The following is a 17,139-nucleotide window of genomic DNA, read 5'->3' as shown; positions in this document are numbered from 1 at the left end:
TTGTTCTAAATGACTATCCAATTGGCCCAAGACAATTTATTGAAAAGAGGGCCCTTATGCTGGGCATGGTGGCTCCCACCTATAATCCCAGCACTTTGGGAGGCTGAGGCGGGTGGATCACAAGGTCAGGAGTTCAAGACGAGCCTGACCAACATGGTAAAATCCCGTCCCTACTAAAAATACAAAAATTAGCCGGGCATGGTGGTGCGCACCTGTAATCCTAGCTACTCAGGAGGCTGAGGCAGGACAATTGCTTGAACCTGGGAGAGGAGGCTGTGGTGAGCTGAGATCGTGCCACTGCGCTCCAGCCTGGACGACATAGCGAGACTCCATTTCAAAAAAAAAAAGAAAAGAAAAGAAAAAAGGGCCCTTTTTCACTGCTCTGAAATGCCAACTTTGTGATGAAGCAAGAAAACAATATATCTCTCGGAACTCCAATTATACATTTCATACATGTTTCTTACTGTATATTCTGTATTTTCTATTCCATTGTCTTTGTGTCTGTTAGTCTGAATATTTTATTGACTTACTTCTACCTTATTATTTCTCTCTTTGGCTATGTGTAACCAGGCATAACACTTATTTATTGGGTTAACTTCAGTTATTATATTTTTAGCTAATTTCCATTTGGTTCTTTTTTATAATTTCAGCTTCCCAGACCAAATTCTCAGTCTTGTCATTTAATCCCATAAATATATTAGCTGTTTAAAGTTCATGGTTTATATCTCCATAATTTAGGTCCCTGTGCCGTACTTCTTTTGTTCACAATTTCTTTTGATTTTCAGTCAGAAAGTCTTGTTCTTCAATGCAACGTTTTTGATTGAGTGCCAGATATTAATCATGGAAAATTATAGAGATATTTTTATATTATCTTCTTCCAGAAAGAATACGCTTTTACTTCTTGTATGTGATTCACTTAAGAAAATTAGCAACCCGAGATTATCTTAATGAAAAATTGAGATAACCAAAAATTTGGCTTCACTTCCTATGGGGACTGCCTATTTCTGGTTCACTCACTCTTTCTTCTAAGATGTAGCTTTTCAGGGTCCCAACCCAAAGAATGTAGGCTGGTTTACTAAGGCTCTTTCCTCCTTGACATGGCCTGAACTCCCATGTTTACCCCTTCTCCTCCCAGTTTTATGAGGCTGTTAAAAATGCTACTTATCCTATGTCTCAATTCTACTTCCTGAATCAGCAGATACTATCTGGGGACAGTTGCCCCTAAAGCTGTCTCCTGCTCTTTGGGCTTTTTTCTTCAACTAAATCTTAGCCCCATAAATTCTCATGTCATAATTTGGTAACTCTGATAATTTCAAGCAGATTAAAAAATATTATGTCTAGATTTTCTGGGTTTCCTCAGCAAGAAGACTGGCACAAATCTTCTGTCTTTGCTGGAAGTTTACATGATCCTAATAGTGCTTTTGGCCACATGAATATTTAAAATTTTATGTACACACATTATCAGTCTTTAATTTAGTGACTTGACCTTCATGCTATGCTTAGAGGAGTTATTTCCACTTCAGATTACAGAAATCTATGCACTTTTTTTCTAGTTTGCTGTGACTTCATTTAAGAAATATGATTTAACTTCATGTGGAATTCATTTTGAAGAAATGAGAAAATATTGTTTTAAAAATTACCCCCATGTTTTCCCCACTGATTAGAAATATCGCCTTTACTAACCAGTTAATTTCTTTCTATATTGAGACCTTTCTAATCTTTTCTGTTGAAAAAAACCCATCTATTTCAATGCCTACTCCACACAGTTTTAGTGTTAGTTTAATAATACTTTAAAAAATATCTGGAAGTTCTTATTTCTTTTCAATACTTGAAAACTTAGGGAAGCTTCACTTATTTTTCTTTTAGATATATAGCAAATAATTTAATAAAGTTATGAGTAAGTTACATGGCATAATAATATAATGAATACTTGTGAAATCACCATCTGCTATGGTTTGACTGTGCCATCCAAAACTTCTTCAAACTTAATCACCAAGGCTGTATTGAAAGGTGGGGCCCTTAAGAGGTGATTGGATCATGAAGGCTCTGCCTTCGTAAATAGACTTATCCATTCATGGATTAATGTGTTAATGGATTAATGGATTATCATAGGAGAGAACTGGTGGCTTTGTAAGAAGAGGAACAGAGCCCTGACCTCATACGTGAGCACACAAACACATGAACACACTCAGCCCTTTCTCCATGTGATACTCTGTGCTGCAAGAAGGCTCTTACCAAATTCAGCCCTTTGACCTTGGACTTCCCAGCCTCCATAGCTGTAAGAATTAATTTTTTTCTTTACGTATTATCCAGTTTCAGGTATTCTGTTATAAGCAACAGAAAATGAATTAAGATAACACACAACCTAAAAAAAAATTATAACCTGTATCTCTTTTTCTGTTTCTTCTTTTCCATCTTCTTTTACCTTCCTCTTTATGGACAGTTTTATTACTCATACATGTACATGTATAAGTGTATATACATTTACTTTTGTGCTCTTGTTTTAGAGCTTGATAAATATGGTATCATACATTAGGTAATCTTCACCCCCCCTCCGCCCAACTCAATATTGTATTTCTAAGATAAATCCCCGTAGCTGGAGTTTATTCATTTTCCCCTGCTATATAGTATTTCCTTGTACGAATATGCCAAAATCTATCCACTTTGTTGTTGAATGGCCTTTGGATTATTTCTCTAATGAATATGAGCCTATGACAATTTTTGCACGTTTCGCCTGCTGCATTTTTTACACGAGATTTCCAGGGTACGTACCTAGGAGTGCAATTGCTGGGTCACCAGGCTATGCACATCTTTTAACTTTACAAAGTAATGACAAATTTCTTTCTTTCTTTGTTTTTCTGGGAGGGAGTCTCACTCTGTTGCCCAGGCTGGAGTGCAGTGGCTCAATCTTGGCTCACTGCAACCTCCGCCTCCCGGGTTCAAGCAATTTTCCGGCCTCAGCCTCCGGAGTAGCTGGGATTACAGGCACCCACCATCATGCTTGGCTAATTTTTTTGTATTTTTAGTAGAGATGAGGTTTCACCATGTTGGCCAGGCTGGTCTTGAACTCCTGACCTTGAGTGATCCGCCCACCTCGGCCTCCCAAAGTGCTAGGATTACAGGCATGAGCCATGAGCCACCACGCCTGGCCCAAGACAAATTGTTTTCTAAAGTGATTTCATGTATTCCCTTTGTTTGTTTTTGTTTCTGTTTTTGTTTTGGATGGTGTCTGGCTCTGCCGCCCAGGCTGGAGTGCAGTGGCACGATCTCGGCTTTCTGCAACTTCCACTTCCCAGGGTTCAAGTGATTCTCCTGCCTCAGCCTCCCAAGTAGCTGGGATTACACGTGTGCGCCACCACGCCCAGCTAATTTTTGTATTTTTATTAGAGACAGGGTTTGCCCATGTTGGCCAGGTTGGTCTCGAAATCCTGACCTCAGGGTGATCCACCCACCTCGGCCTCCCAAAGTGGTGGGATTACAGGCGTGAGCCACCGAGCCCAGCTGGTTTCATGTATTCTCTACAAGGAATGTGTCAGAGTTCCCACTGATCCACATTCTCCGCAACAACTGGTATCATGCAGATTGTAAAGGTATGTACTGACTTATTGATGGAGCTAGTACGATCAAAACTATAGGTTTTCGTTTTTGTTTTTGTTTGTTTGCTAGCTTGCGTCCTTTTGGTTTCTGCTAAGGTTGGGTACATGAGAGAGTTTGGAAAGTAGGAGGAGGCATGAGGGACTTTCTTTCTTGTTTGTTTGGCATTCTTGTCAATGTAATTCCAAATATGGGATCTCACCTTAGCAGCAGCAGTTGGTTATAGCTGTGGTTTTCTAGTTTCCACATTCTTTCTAACTTCACGAATCAGCATCACTATTGTGTTCACTTGGAGGCACGAGAAGCAGCTGAGCAATATCCTCTTCTCAGAGGTGAGTTCCAGCTCTGTGGGAACCGTCCTCTGATCTCCCAAAGTATGGCCAGTAGCAGCCAATGGAACATCCTCCTCAGAATTCTGTGTCTTGCTCCTTGGATCCTTCCTCTGTACTCCTGAAAAACAGTAGCAGTAAGGCAAAAGTCTGGGTCCTAACTCTCTAGTTTGTCTCTTTCAGCTTCGAAGTTATGATAACCCCTACCACTTTCTTTCATTCCTCTAGTCTAACAGGTAAGAGGTAGTAACTGCCTCCTGCAGTAACTTTGTGCTACACCCCTGTATTTCCTTTTTGTTTTTTCTGTACTTCAACACCATGTAACAAATTCTCCATATTAATTCTCTCTGTTAACATAACTTTATGTTTTTCATTTTTTTGACTGATAAAGATATTGTTTGACTTCTTAGTTTTTGCTAATCTACAGGTATGAAATGGTACCTCATTAAACCCTTTTTGTGCTTTTCTGGTTACATTAAGACGGGTTGAATATTTTTGTATATGTTTATTGACCACACTGTTTCTTCTTCTGTAAAATGTCTTTTCATTTTACTTGCTGATTTTTCTATTTTTTTTTTCTTACTGGTTTGTAGTTCTTTGGAGGTTCTGGATACCAATTGGTATAAGTTTTATGTGTTGGATGTATCTCCTAGTTTGTGGTTTATACTTTCACTTTATTGTATATTTTGATGAACAGTTTTAAATTTTAATAAAATTTTCTTGATGTTCTTTTATGAAGAACTCTTTGTGTCTTCATTATGAAATTCTTCTCCATCCTAAGATAAGAAAGGCAGTCTCCTCATGGTATTTGAGGTTTCTTTCACATTTGGATTCGTATTCAACTGGAATTTATTTTTTTGTGTGTCTAATGAAATGTAGAGTTCCAATTTCATTTCTTTTCCTATATGTTTCCAACTGTCACCCCTTTCCTCTTTGATACACTACTCGATACGCTCTCTCATATATAAAGTTTCATGTATCTGGCAGCCTATTTCTTGGCTCTCCAATGTTATTGTGGTGAATTTGTTTATCCTTGCACCAATAATATACTGTATCTTAATTATAACTTTATACAAAGTCTTGATATACGGTAAGGAAAGTTCTAGGATCTTCTTCTTCTGGAATATCTTGCCTGTCCTTGGATCTCTACCTTCCATATGTGCCATTTCAAATTCTATGAAAAATCTTATTAGAATTGCATTAACTTTGTAGATCATTTGGTAGAATTGATATATTTTATTGTTTTTCTATCCATGGATATGAGATGTCTCTCCATTTATCTAGTTTTTATTTAATGTATTTTATTGTTTTTTAAATTTTCCCCCATAAAATACAATATTTGCTTTGAGATTAATTCCAGACATTGCACAATACAGTTGCAATTATAAATAGTCCTAGAAAAATATGTTGCCCATTAATGATCCCTTCATTTCTTGCCCCTCCTCTTGCTTCTCCTGGCTATTGTCATGTGTTTATTCTTACACATGAAGTTCAGCATCATTCTGTCAACCAGAAAAAAAAAAAAGTCAGGAAGATTTTGATAGAAAGTGGGCTCTCTCTCTCTATATATATTTATGTGTATATATACATATATTTATGTGTATATATATATATATTTTTTTTTTTTTTTTGAGACGGAGTCTTGCTCTGTCACCCAGGCTGGAGTGCAGTGGCGCGATTGGCTCCACTGCAACCTCTGTCTCCCGGGTTCAAGAGATTCTCCTGCTTCAGTCTCCCAAGTAGCTGGAACTACAGGCATATGCCTCTATGCCCAGCTAATTTTTGTATTTTTAGTAGAGACGGGGTTTCACCATGTTGGCCAGGATGGTCTCAATCTCCTAACCTCGTGATTCGCCCGTCTCAGCCTCCCAAAGTGCTGGGATTACAGGCGTGAGCCACGACACCTGACCGGGCTTAATATATTTTTGTGTACGGAAGTCACGTTTTTATAATGGTGACAACAATATGTGAAAATTGAAGTTTCAAGTAGAGCCCATGAGATATAGTAGATGAGCTACTCCTAGATTAAATCATCAAATGCAGATGTCAAAACTTATGTCCAAGAACCAGTTCCATGACTGTTGTTGCATGCCTCACCCATCTCAAGAGTATAAAATGTAGATGGAGGATTTGTTTTTTTTTTGTTTGTTTTTTTTGAGAGAAGAGTGCTAATTGTGGACAGAGATTTTCTTTGGAAGAGCGGTAGGCTGTACTGAGGAGCACTCATCATAGTATTCCCAAATTGGGAACAACCTGTGTGTCCATCAACAGTACAGTGGATAAATTGTAGTGGATTCATACAATGGAATAGTACATGGCAATAGAAAATATACACTTCTGATGCACATAACAACATGGATGACTTTATAGAATACTATTGAGTGAAAATAGCTAGATGCCAAAGAGAACATACTACCTGTAATCTATTTGTATGACGTTTACAAGCTGGTAAAACTAATGTACAGGACTAGAGATCATAATAGTAATCATTGAGGAGGTAATAACCGAGAGGTGGCATGAGGGAGTCTGCTGGGATTCTGAATTGTTCTATGTCTTGATTCAGATGGTGGTTAAACATACAACATGCACATGTATATCTATGTAGATGTGCATACAACCCATGGGAGAACAGAATTTTAGGAAGAAAGCCTTATTTTTTAAAATTTTGTCCTCAAGGAGTTTAACAAACCAATTAATTCTAGGGATTAGTTCTGTATTTTTCTTAGTTTTTCAGCAGAACTATACAAATACAGAAATACCAAGTGTACAACCTGGAAGCATGGCCAGTATTTAGCCTTACTCAGACATTAGTCCTAGGATCTACATCTTCAAAATTGTGAAATAGTGCAAAAAGATGAAAACTGATGGATGACATTGGATTTGTTGAGAAGATGTCAGAGACTGGTAGTTTCTGAAATTAGTTCCTTCCTTGATTCGTTTACCATTTTCCCACCTTCATTATTGATGAATAATAATGTTAAGATATTTTTACTCTATTTCATCTGTCACCTGTTTTACTATCTTTTTAATGTACCAGAATATGAAACTGTCTTGATGATTTACTAAATATCTGTGTTCATCCTTATATTAGTTATCTATGGCTATTGTAAAAAATTACCATAAACTTGGTAACTTAAAAGAACATAAATGTATTCTCTCACAGATCTTGAGGTCATAAGTCCTAAATCAGTGTCACTGCACTGAAATCAAAGTGTCAGCAGGGCTGGGCTACCTCCAGAAGCCTGAGGATAATTTGTTTTTTGCCTCTTCCAGCTGCTAGTGGCTGCCAGCACTCGTTGGCTAGTGGCTGCATCATTCCAGTCTCTGTCTCTGTGGTTATATTGCCTTCTCTCTTATAAGGATACATGTGATTGCATTGAGGGCCCACCAAATAATCCTGGATAATCTTCCCATCTCAAAATCCTTAACTTAATCACACCTGAAAGATGCTTTTCCAAATAAGGTAACATTTACAGTTTCCAAGGATTAGGACCTGATATCTTCATGTGGCTATTATTCAGCCTACATATCCCTCTACCAGAATGTAAATTCCATGGGAACAGAGCTTTTGTATGTTTTTTTTCACTTATGTGTTTTCAGTGTTTCGAGGAGTTGTGAACAAGAATGCCTGGTACACAGTAGGCAGTCACTAAATATTTGTAAATTTAATGAAGTTTTGTTTGTTTGTTTATTTTTGGAGACAGGGTCTCATTGTGTCATCCATGCTGGAGTGCAGCGGCATGATCACTGCTCACTGTAGCCTTGACCTCCCAGGCTCAAGTGATCTTCCTATCTCAGCCTTCCAAGTAGCTGGGACCACAGGCGCCTACCACAATGCTTGGCTGGGTAATTTTTGTTTTTTAAAGTTCTTTTAGAGACAGGATCTCCCTATGTTGCCCAGGCTGGTCATGAACTCCTGGGCTCACGTAACCCTCCTGCCTCGGCCTCCCAAAGTGCTGGGATCACAGGTATAAGCCACCATGTCTAGCAGTCACTAAGTATTAATGAATCACTTTGATCATCTTCCTGTGGAATGGGGAGTTTTCGTTTTATTGAGAAAGACATACCTATTATCATTAGCTGTAATTTATAGTGATAAGCTTTGGCTCATCATCAGAGATAATATTTTAATAACCAGGCCTATCCATCTACAGGCCAGGTTGCTTCATAAAGGAAGAAACTCCTTGAATGTGGACGTATTCAAATAAGGTTTGAATAATTATCTGTTAGAGATGCTATAAAAGATATTTTATACAATGTCTAGAATTCTTATAAACCTTTTGTCTATTAGTTTTAAAATGACTGAAGACCATTCCTCTAATTTTTGACCCTGTTAAGAGCATTGTACATGAGAATCCACAAAGATATATTCTTTTTGGTGGATCAGCTCTATGTTTCTTTAGTATGTCAGAGTATCATACTGGAAGCTCTCAATGCTAAAATGGTCCTCCTCACATAGAAAGTTTTTTTTTCTTTTTCTTTATAAAAATGGCTCTAAGTCTTTAAATTCTAACTTTTAACCCAGAAACTTGCCATATGTGTAAAATATGATCCCTAAAATAGTGCAACTTTTTGTTTTATATAACACTATCCTATTGATGTACCCATATCCAAATGAATGTTGTCTCTCAATCAAAGCAGTCATCTCAGAAATTGATGAGTGGAAAATGAGAAGCTTTCTTCTAGATTTCCCTTCATATAAAACCACATATGAAAATCAGGCCTATGAGTTCAGCTAAATCTAGTTTTTGGCCGAAGTAGTTATGTCAGTTGGAATTTTTTTGTTTGTAGGTAACACAATTCATCGCCAAAGTACCATATTATTATTTCCCATAACAAGAAACCGAGAAGATAGAGTGAACAAAGTGTAGTAGTTCCAAAAATCCTGTTCTTACCTAATAATGACAGCAAAGGAAGGGAGGAGGAGGACTCCCCTGTAACTCTCCTTTTTTCTTTTCCTTTTTTTTAAATGGTGGGGGGAGGGTTCTTTTACAAATGTCTTCCAAAGGACACTGTCTTCTGTCTCATTAGTCCGGTGGATCACATAGCTATCTAAGGAAGACTGGAAAAGAAATTTTCTTGCATTTTAACTGCCCTCATGGACAAGAAGTGGTTAAGTCTGTCCTCACTGGAAGTAGATTCTTCTCACTAACAAGTACATATCCTCTTTCTTCTAATTCTTATGAATAAATCTGGTGAATAGAAAATTGGTGGTGGCAATGGTGGTGCGGGATTGGGGAAAGAATTGGGTACTAATACTTAACTGGGTACCTATAATTGTGGGCCAGCCCTCTCTGCAGATGAAGAGACTGAGGCTCTACATAAGAAACTTGTATAAGGTAAATTGGCTAGAAAGTAGTGACACTTCCAACACGGACCATCATCTAATTATGATGATGATGAGGGTGATAGTTACACTGGTTAATATTGAGTGCTTACTACACACCAGGCATTGTGCTATCTACTTTATGCCGATTATTTCATTTAATTTTCAAACCTACACAAAGGCAGTAGTCTGTTCTACAGGTGAACTAACTGAGGCTCGAGGACACATATCTAGTAAACATGAGATTAAACTCCAGTGATGCCTCTAGGTCTGGGCATTTCTTTACACTGTTCTGCTTTCCTGTTCTAATGCCCATATGGTCTCCAAGACTACTGCCTCTGGGCTAAGCATTTTGTTAACTTAAGATACTTCATCTGCAAAATGGGGATAATTATACTTCATAATTCCTAATAGTAGTAAAGGTAACAATAAATTTTAAGTGATTAACAATGAAACAACCATAGCAGGACAGCATTATTATTTTTGAATTTACCTCACTAAATTGTAAATTTCATTTATGCCGTTTACCTAACGCTCCTGGACTGAGATTATCCAGGGCAGCAGTTCTTAAATTTTTTGGACTCAGGGCCTCTCTATAATGTTAAAGAATTACTGTGACCTCCAAAGAGCTTATGTTTATGTGGGTTACACCTATCACTACTGCATTGAAATGAAAACTGAGAAATGTTTAAAAACAACAAACGCAAGCTCCCTTAGCTGCCAGTGATGACGTCGTACACAAAGCGTATCCTCCAGGAAACGGTATACTAGTGAGAGAAGGAACGTGAGAAAGACAGACAAGGTGTCCGTATTATTATGAAAATTGTTCTGAGGTCATCGGGATTTCCAGAGGTCCCTAGACCACACTTTATGAGAACTGCTGCCTTAGGGTAAAGATGGGGTGCCAGGAGGTTGGCGATCAGTAGCGTCTGATGAACGAACCATGGGAGCCTGGGGTTGTTCAGATGAGGAAACCAAGAGTTAGGCCGAAATAAGCAGCGCCGGAGCTCCACTGTATTCACGGCCGCTACTGAGGCTTCCCAGCAGCCTCGGCCCTTAGCAGCTGTCCCCTCATCCGCCCCGAGGTACCCTCTTCCCTGGTCCGGTTTTTCAGGGGCCCTCTCTGGCGCTCTCCGCCAGGCTACGGGCGTCCCGGGTGCCCGGAGACAGGCCCCGCCCCGCCGCCGGTCCTCGAACTCCTGGCTGCCAGGCAACCCTGGCGCGTAGCCCGGGCGTCACTGCTCCACCCCGTCAGGCTGAACCATTCCCTTCAGAGACTTTCTCAAGAGGGAAGGAGAAAAGGGAATTTGATGGAACGCCTGAAAGCTGCTCTGCTCCCGTTTTCTCTCCTTAATTTGAACGAACACTTCTTTTCTTCTTCTAGCCAACTGTCTCCTGAAGGGAAACGCAGCGCCTCGCCTCTCCCGCCGGAATGTCCCCCACACCAGTCCAGGGCCGCGAGTGGTTCGGCTCGTCAGGCGGGGCCGCCGGTCGGCGCGGGTTGGCTCTGAGGCGGGGGCGCGCGCCCGACGTGCGCGTAGGGGGCGGGGCCGCGCGCAGAGGGCGGGGAGGTGGGCAAGATGGCGCTTGCCGAGTGATTCTCCTCGAATACCTCCTGCCGGCGCGGAGACACCGGGGCGGGGGTCCTGCCGCAACTACCTCCCTTCCTCCTCTCCCCCGCCCCCGGAGCCTTCATCCTTCCCTTCCCCCCCCACCTCGAGGGGCGGGCCTGGTTCCCGGGACACCATGTCGGACTCTGAGGAGGAGAGCCAGGACCGGCAACTGAAAATCGTCGTGCTGGGGGACGGCGCCTCCGGGAAGGTCAGTCCTCGAGCAGGCCCGCCGTCCCAGGCCTGCAGGAACCCCGGCGGTCCCCGGCCTCCTCCCCGCCGCCCGGCGTCGCCTCGTTACCCCGAGCCCTCGGGCTTCTAGGCCCGGGCCCTTCTGGTTGTGTGGCCTGAGGCCGGACACGAAGTGGGCGCTTGGTGAAGGCCGACGAGAGCTGTCCAGCTCCCCCTTAAAAAAGAGTCACTTCCTAACTCCCCGCCTGGATTGCGAACTCCTGCAAGACTCGGGCCAGCCTTTCAGCTTCCCGCCTCTCAGGACTGGCAGGGATTTGCCAAGGCATCTTAGCTCCTCTTACTTGTAGTCTGGGTCACACTTACTCCTCCCCTCCCACCCCCTTTACCGTTTCTGATGCTTCTACTGCATCGTGAGCTCCCAGGAGCGTAGCTCTGGAATCAGTATTCCCCGGGTGAGAATTGGGGCTCTGCCACTTAGTCGTCGGGTCATTGGAGGGCAAATTGCTAATCAGTTTAAGCTTCATCTGTAAGATGGGTATTGAAAAGGGCCGCCGCAAAGGGAGAAATGTGAAAATACATATTAAATGTGAAAATACACATAAAACCTTTAGAGCACAGTGTCCACTCAGTACACTCTAGTTGCTATTTTAATATCATACCTGTTCATCACCTCTGTTTCCAGCTCAGCACTCGATACAAGCAGTCAGTCAACAAGTGTTTATGGAGCTCCTGTTACGGGTAGGATGCTGAGGGTAGAGCTGCTTGCGTGACAAAAGGGATCCCCTGTTCGAATGAATGAATGCGGGCGTGAGAATATCAGGCAGCGTCAGTCTTATTATCTCCTAGGCAGGGGCTCCTACCCCAAGGCTGTGGAACTCCTGAAATGGAGTAAATACTGCCCGGTACGTGCTCTGGGGAGAGGGTCCATAAGATCTCAGAGGGGTCTATGATCCCTCCACCAGCAAATAGTGAAGAGCCTCTACCCGGATGCCTTCTTTCCCATGCTTCTGTCAAAGGCGCCAACACTTTCTGGGAATATTGCTAAAGTTTATCACCCCTGTACTCCCCTTCCTTATCCCAACCATAGTCTAAAGAAACCCAGGCTTTTATTTCCTGTTTAAGGCTTCACATTTCCCTGTTGCTGGTTGCATTTCGGACCCTGGTTTCTCTGGTGACGACTTCTCTTTGCATCCTCCCTGACAGTTGGCACTGCCCAGATACCTGCTTCTGCCTTTGGTTCTGACATTTGAGTTTCGAGGTCACCTGGGAAAGATGTAAAATTTTATATGCAAAATTTGAAGTATTTTTTTGTTTCTTTCTTGTCTTCTTGGATCCTTTGTTACAGATTTTTAAAGCTGAGGAAAACAATATGCTCTGATTACCTTTAAACGTTGGGGGAAGAAAGGAACTTGGGGTAACTTTTCTTTATAAAGTATATTAATTTTTGTATACTTAGTAAACTTTTCGAATGAATGAATTGCTATAAATAAATCATTGTTTCTAACACCTTTATTCAATAAAAAGTTTGTTAGATTTTTATAGTTTTCTCATCATTTAGATTTTCTTTTGAAGGCCGTCTAAGGTTTTGGCTCTTAAATTTTACTGTATTCAATTCATAACTGATCTTATTTCCCATTTAAAATGATAATGACAACTCATAACAATACATTTGTAAAAAGACACAAAAATTGCTGGTTATCCTATATGCTATCATAATTCTTTAAACTGTTGTTCATTTTTCTAACAGTATTTATTGTACATATATTACTTAGTGAAATTTGTTCATAATTTTGCGTCTGAGTTTTTTATTTAGCCTATCATACATGTTTCCTCTTTGTTGCTAATTTAGTGTGAATAATTATGGTTTTTTATCTCTGTTTAAAATTTTTTCTTGTATAGGACAGGATAATTTTTTCACTTCCATGTTTTTGAATTAGTATTATCATTCTGCTTCAAAGGATAACAGTTAATATTTTTTATGGTGCTCTGACTTAATCTTCATTATCTTGACTAAATAACTTATTTTAAAACTGTAACAGCTTTTTCTAACAGGAACTTCCAGACACAAACATCTGACACCTAACCTTCTTTCATTATTCTTAAATCAAGAATTTTTTTCTCCATACCCTATTCAGTTCTCAAATACTTGGCAGCCACCAACATTCCCATTCTTTTTCCTTTATTGTTCTTTTCTTTGTGAACTCAGCCTCTCTTTCATTCTTACTTGTATCCTGATTTAACTCTTGGCTCTTTTTTCCTGGCATTTGTTTTTCCTGCTCAATCTAACTCTGAGCATTTTTCAACACACTGACAGATGCAATAGAGTATTGAGATGATGACTAACAGTTTCTCCAAGAGAAATTTAGCTCCTCCTTCCAGTATCACGTGTTTCTATTTCTTTCCTTTTCTGATTCATATTTTTTCTTTTATTACATAGTCTCTTAAGAGCTTTTTGAGGCAAAATATTCTTTTTTTTTCTGTCTTTTCAGTGTTTGTAAATGTAGCATGGTTAAAAAATGTTAGTAGAAATTTACCAAGTCAAAAATGTTAGTAGAAATTTTCCAAATCAAAAAATATAAAGATTCAGATAAAAATATTTCTGATATGGGAGCTAGTTGTTCACTTAATACCTGTAATTAAGAAGGGTATTTATACAGTGACTTGAGAAATTATTGAATGTGAAAGATAGCATGCAGTCTAGATAAGTGAAGAGAAAGTGACCCCCACTGATTCAGTTGATTCTCTGTTCAATTTTTATCTCAAGACATCGGGAGATGATATAGTAAGAACTTACTTTAATACTCTGTATGTTCCCAGTAACCTGTATTTTTGACAGTTTACACTCGATTCCAGTTGAAAATCCTAGCTTTATGTTTGCCTCAAAAGTGTGAAAGCAGGGCTTTCAAAATCTAGAAGTCACTTTTTCAGGAAAAGAAACTTTCTTAGAATTTTTCTGAATATTCCTTAACATGAAAATATTGAACTCTGAGATTCTTTAAAGTGAAAAATTATCTCAAATGACATTACGTGAATGTTACACATGCCTTCAGTTTCTCTTTGACCTTTAAGTATTTCAACCATCAGTCTATTAAATATTTTGAAATATCTGTAATAGTATAAGTAGTGATAGTTATTTTTTTCTAGAATTCTGAACCTCTTCAAAGATGATTTTGTGGTCTAAGTTAGATAAGATCAGTAGAATAATATAGTGTAGATGAGAAACAATGGTCTGTAAAAAGAAATACCTATCTTTTCAATTCTGATCTCTCAGTTTTGATAGTGTTACATGTGTCAAAAATATAACAAATGTGTTTGTTTCTAGATGTCTAGCAGAATACCCTTTATATGGTAGTGCTCAACAAATACTTGGCCAATTATCTTCGAAATTTATTACAAATGCTGGGTATTTAAACCCAAAAATATTTGGAGTTATGGTGTCCAAATTGCCATTTGTGTGAAAAATATGGTTCTGTGTAAAAGGAATTTTAGATGATCTTGCTAAAAGGAATTGAAGTTTGGCCAAATTTTCTTTTGCACTATTGTACTGCTTATGTCATAAGGAACTGTAATAAGCTATCTTGGAAATTTATCTTAGTTTTCATTATTTTAAGAGTTGACATGTAATTTTAACTTTTAAAATAAAAAACGGCTATTTTCTCTTAAAGTAGGGAGTCTGTCTTGAAGAGCATAAAAGCTTAGTGAAGTTGCCTTTCTCTTTTTTGGAGGAAGTTTATAAATAAAAATAGTGCATTTAAAATGTTTAAGAATTTGTTAAGTTATTGTTATTCAGTTGTTACTAGAATAATTATTCTTTTGCTTTGATAAGAAATGGTACTTTAAAAAGAAAACTCCAGAGTTTTTGACTAAAACTTTCAGTTTCTATTAAAAAACAAATGTATATCTGTTCTGGTTATGATAGCTTGTGACTTCTTGGCATTATGGTTCTTGGATGGAAAATATTCATTTTGTCTGCTTTATATTAATCTTAAAAATACGTTTATTTAAGAGGTACATATTGTCACAGTCTTTCTTTAGGGTCATTTTCATTTAGCATCTTTAAAAATAAAGAAAAATTACATACGGTGCTTTTCTTGTGGGAAAAAGAAAAATTCTGTAAGCAGATTTCTCCCTCCTTAATGAATGCTTCTTATTATTAGCTTAGTGCTCAGCTACCCTCAGAATATTTAACCTCAGAAGCTGATCTAAGTTAGATTAGATCTTTAATTATGTTTTAAAATAATTCAGATCTTTATTTATTTATTTTTTAGTTTTTTTTTCTGTTGATAACTCTCAAATTCTAATTTTCAGCAAGGAAAAGGATCTTGACAAGCAGGGGATTTAAAGAGATCTAACTCATTAGTTCGTTGTCCCTACCGATAGCTGCTGGCAAGTAAAATTTACCTGGTGGTGTTAAGTCTCTCCCCTCCTTGTAACTGATTAGAACTGCTTAAATTTGCTTGTTGGATTAATTGCAATATACATGTTAAGATTGCTTAAGATTTATAGTGGTCTTATGATTACATTTCTTTAATGAATTAATTTTGACATTCTGTGCATCAATTTTTTAGACCTCCTTAACTACGTGTTTTGCTCAAGAAACTTTTGGGAAACAGTACAAACAAACTATAGGACTGGATTTCTTTTTGAGAAGGATAACATTGCCAGGTAAGAGACTAAAAAGTCTTAACGTAGAAGATTATAAAAAAATCTTAACAATAAGTGGCATAAGAAAGAAATGTGTAAAATTTTGGGGCTGCTTCTACATGAAGATGTATATAAACAGTAAATTTATCTTAGGGATGTTAACTTTCATCACAATCTATCATGAAAGCATATTGTCCATGGGTATAAGAAAAAGTTTATATACTCTCCCACTCCTTCCCTGTTTTTGGCTACTATACATTTTTTGAGGATAAACAATGGTTGCTTATAAAATTGTGAAAAGCTTTTAAAAAATTAAGTGCTGTACATTTGTCAACAGATATTGTATTAACAAAATGTGAAAAGATTGGGAAGGATTATTTTTTAAAATATTATTTTGATTTGCCTCTGTTTTAGTTTTTTGTTTAAAGTTGGAACAGAAGTATAATGTAGCTATGGAACTTCTGTGCTCTAATATGTGAATGCTGTTTTATGCAAGGCAGCATGAAATTGCTGGCATTTAATAGACCACTAAAATTTAGGGTCCCTAGGCACTCATAAAAATACAGTTTGAGCATTCAAGATGTTTCACTTCACCATGCAAAGAAACTATTTAGATGCCAGTTGCAGCACATTTTGTGGGAAATACGGGGAAATAATAACAAAGAAAGAGTGGTTTATGTTTTAAGTTAGTTTCTGAACAATTGGGGCTTTAAAATGCTGTCCTTTCAATTTCAATGGTTAAATTATATGTTTAAAGTATTTTATTAAAAGCAGTTTATCTTGATTGACTTTATAAACCATCCATCTCTCTCCTCTGTGAGGAAGCACATTTGGAGAAAATGGTTGCAAGTGTAATGTCAGATTCATGTACTGAAATGTGAGTGATACAGTGGGAAGGGGTTTAATACATTCCAATTATTATTGAAATATGTTAACCTCTCAGACACCCCATCTATCAGACAACTCCCCATGAAAGTTTTAGAGTAGGTAATGAAAACTCTTGGTAATGGAGGTATTCTTCTTATCTCCTTAGTAATATACTCTGCTATATTTTGTGATAGTTTGTATTTGGCTACCAGTGAAAAATAGATTAGGAGATATCCCATGAGAAAAAAAAGAATTCCAATTTTTCCATTACTGGGTTATTGTTCAGCAAGAGGTTTAAGGAGAAACATATGCGTACTTTGTTTCATTTGTATTTTCTTTTATTGTATCCAAAACTGAAAATGTCATTTTAATTTTATTATTCTCACTCTTACGGATAATCTATGCTGCATTCAGAATACTTAACAGCAGTCACTAGCTGAATACATACACAGATCACATAATACAGATGCTGGAAGCTTATTTTTGCAGGAGTTTTTTTCACAGATGCCAGTTGTACACAGAGAATCTCAAATGTGGCATTTCATTATTAGCTATTTTGTTTTGATGCTTAATTTGA

At 38.3% G+C, this 17,139-nt stretch overlaps 1 protein-coding gene and 2 long non-coding RNA genes across 7 annotated transcripts in view, besides 7 other annotated features; 1 reads left to right on the top strand and 2 right to left on the bottom strand.

The window, feature by feature from the left end:
- Positions 1-4,028, bottom strand: part of LOC124900669 (uncharacterized) — a 33,740-nt gene extending 29,712 nt beyond the window's left edge. For both annotated transcript variants that reach the window (XR_007058052.1, XR_007058054.1), the window contains exon 1: positions 3,797-4,028. This is a non-coding gene — a long non-coding RNA (uncharacterized LOC124900669). The remainder of the gene's footprint in view (positions 1-3,796) is intronic.
- A 1,228-nt stretch (positions 4,029-5,256) lies between these two features.
- On the bottom strand, positions 5,257-10,697 carry LOC105374495 (uncharacterized). Of its 2 annotated transcripts, none has more exons than XR_925412.1 (3): positions 9,743-10,697; positions 8,819-8,985; positions 5,257-5,425 (listed from the first exon to the last, which is right to left on the bottom strand). It is a non-coding gene; the product is annotated as an uncharacterized LOC105374495 (long non-coding RNA). The 2 variants fall into 2 exon arrangements; XR_925413.1 differs by having other exon boundaries at positions 10,192-10,697.
- Positions 9,924-10,831: an enhancer, noted in NCBI's record as "H3K27ac hESC enhancer chr4:13485939-13486846 (GRCh37/hg19 assembly coordinates)". NCBI's record gives its function as "activates a minimal SCP1, AML or CMV promoter by ChIP-STARR-seq in naive H9 embryonic stem cells {active_cell/tissue: H9 hESC(naive)}" and the evidence as "EXISTENCE:reporter gene assay evidence [ECO:0000049][PMID:30033119]".
- Positions 9,924-11,274: a biological region, named in NCBI's record as "Sharpr-MPRA regulatory regions 1971 and 3941".
- Positions 10,345-10,404: a silencer, noted in NCBI's record as "silent region_15285". NCBI's record gives its function as "represses an Ori minimal core promoter by ATAC-STARR-seq in GM12878 lymphoblastoid cells {active_cell/tissue: GM12878}" and the evidence as "EXISTENCE:reporter gene assay evidence [ECO:0000049][PMID:35858748]".
- Positions 10,367-10,661: a silencer, noted in NCBI's record as "tiled region #3941; K562 Repressive DNase matched - State 1:Tss". NCBI's record gives its function as "weakly represses a minimal TATA promoter and a strong SV40 promoter by Sharpr-MPRA in K562 cells {active_cell/tissue: K562}" and the evidence as "EXISTENCE:reporter gene assay evidence [ECO:0000049][PMID:27701403]".
- Positions 10,545-10,664: an enhancer, noted in NCBI's record as "active region_21324". NCBI's record gives its function as "activates an Ori minimal core promoter by ATAC-STARR-seq in GM12878 lymphoblastoid cells {active_cell/tissue: GM12878}" and the evidence as "EXISTENCE:reporter gene assay evidence [ECO:0000049][PMID:35858748]".
- Positions 10,627-10,921: an enhancer, noted in NCBI's record as "tiled region #1971; HepG2 Activating DNase matched - State 1:Tss, and K562 Activating non-DNase unmatched - State 1:Tss". NCBI's record gives its function as "activates a minimal TATA promoter and a strong SV40 promoter by Sharpr-MPRA in HepG2 and K562 cells {active_cell/tissue: HepG2 | K562}" and the evidence as "EXISTENCE:reporter gene assay evidence [ECO:0000049][PMID:27701403]".
- Positions 10,655-11,274: a silencer, noted in NCBI's record as "silent region_15284". NCBI's record gives its function as "represses an Ori minimal core promoter by ATAC-STARR-seq in GM12878 lymphoblastoid cells {active_cell/tissue: GM12878}" and the evidence as "EXISTENCE:reporter gene assay evidence [ECO:0000049][PMID:35858748]".
- The window catches only part of RAB28 (RAB28, member RAS oncogene family), a 116,617-nt gene continuing 110,283 nt past the window's right edge, over positions 10,806-17,139 (top strand). For all 3 annotated transcript variants that reach the window (NM_001017979.3, NM_004249.4, NM_001159601.2), the window contains exons 1-2: positions 10,806-11,070; positions 15,620-15,716. In NM_001017979.3, coding sequence (NP_001017979.1) covers positions 10,996-11,070; positions 15,620-15,716 — 172 coding nt within the window. In that variant the 5' untranslated portion in view covers positions 10,806-10,995. The remainder of the gene's footprint in view (positions 11,071-15,619; positions 15,717-17,139) is intronic.

This window comes from Homo sapiens, chromosome 4 (assembly GCF_000001405.40).
Source record: "Homo sapiens chromosome 4, GRCh38.p14 Primary Assembly".
In the NCBI taxonomy this organism is placed as follows: domain Eukaryota; kingdom Metazoa; phylum Chordata; class Mammalia; order Primates; family Hominidae; genus Homo; species Homo sapiens.
Note: the sequence above shows the minus strand (reverse complement) of the source record. Positions and strands in the feature narration are given on the sequence as shown.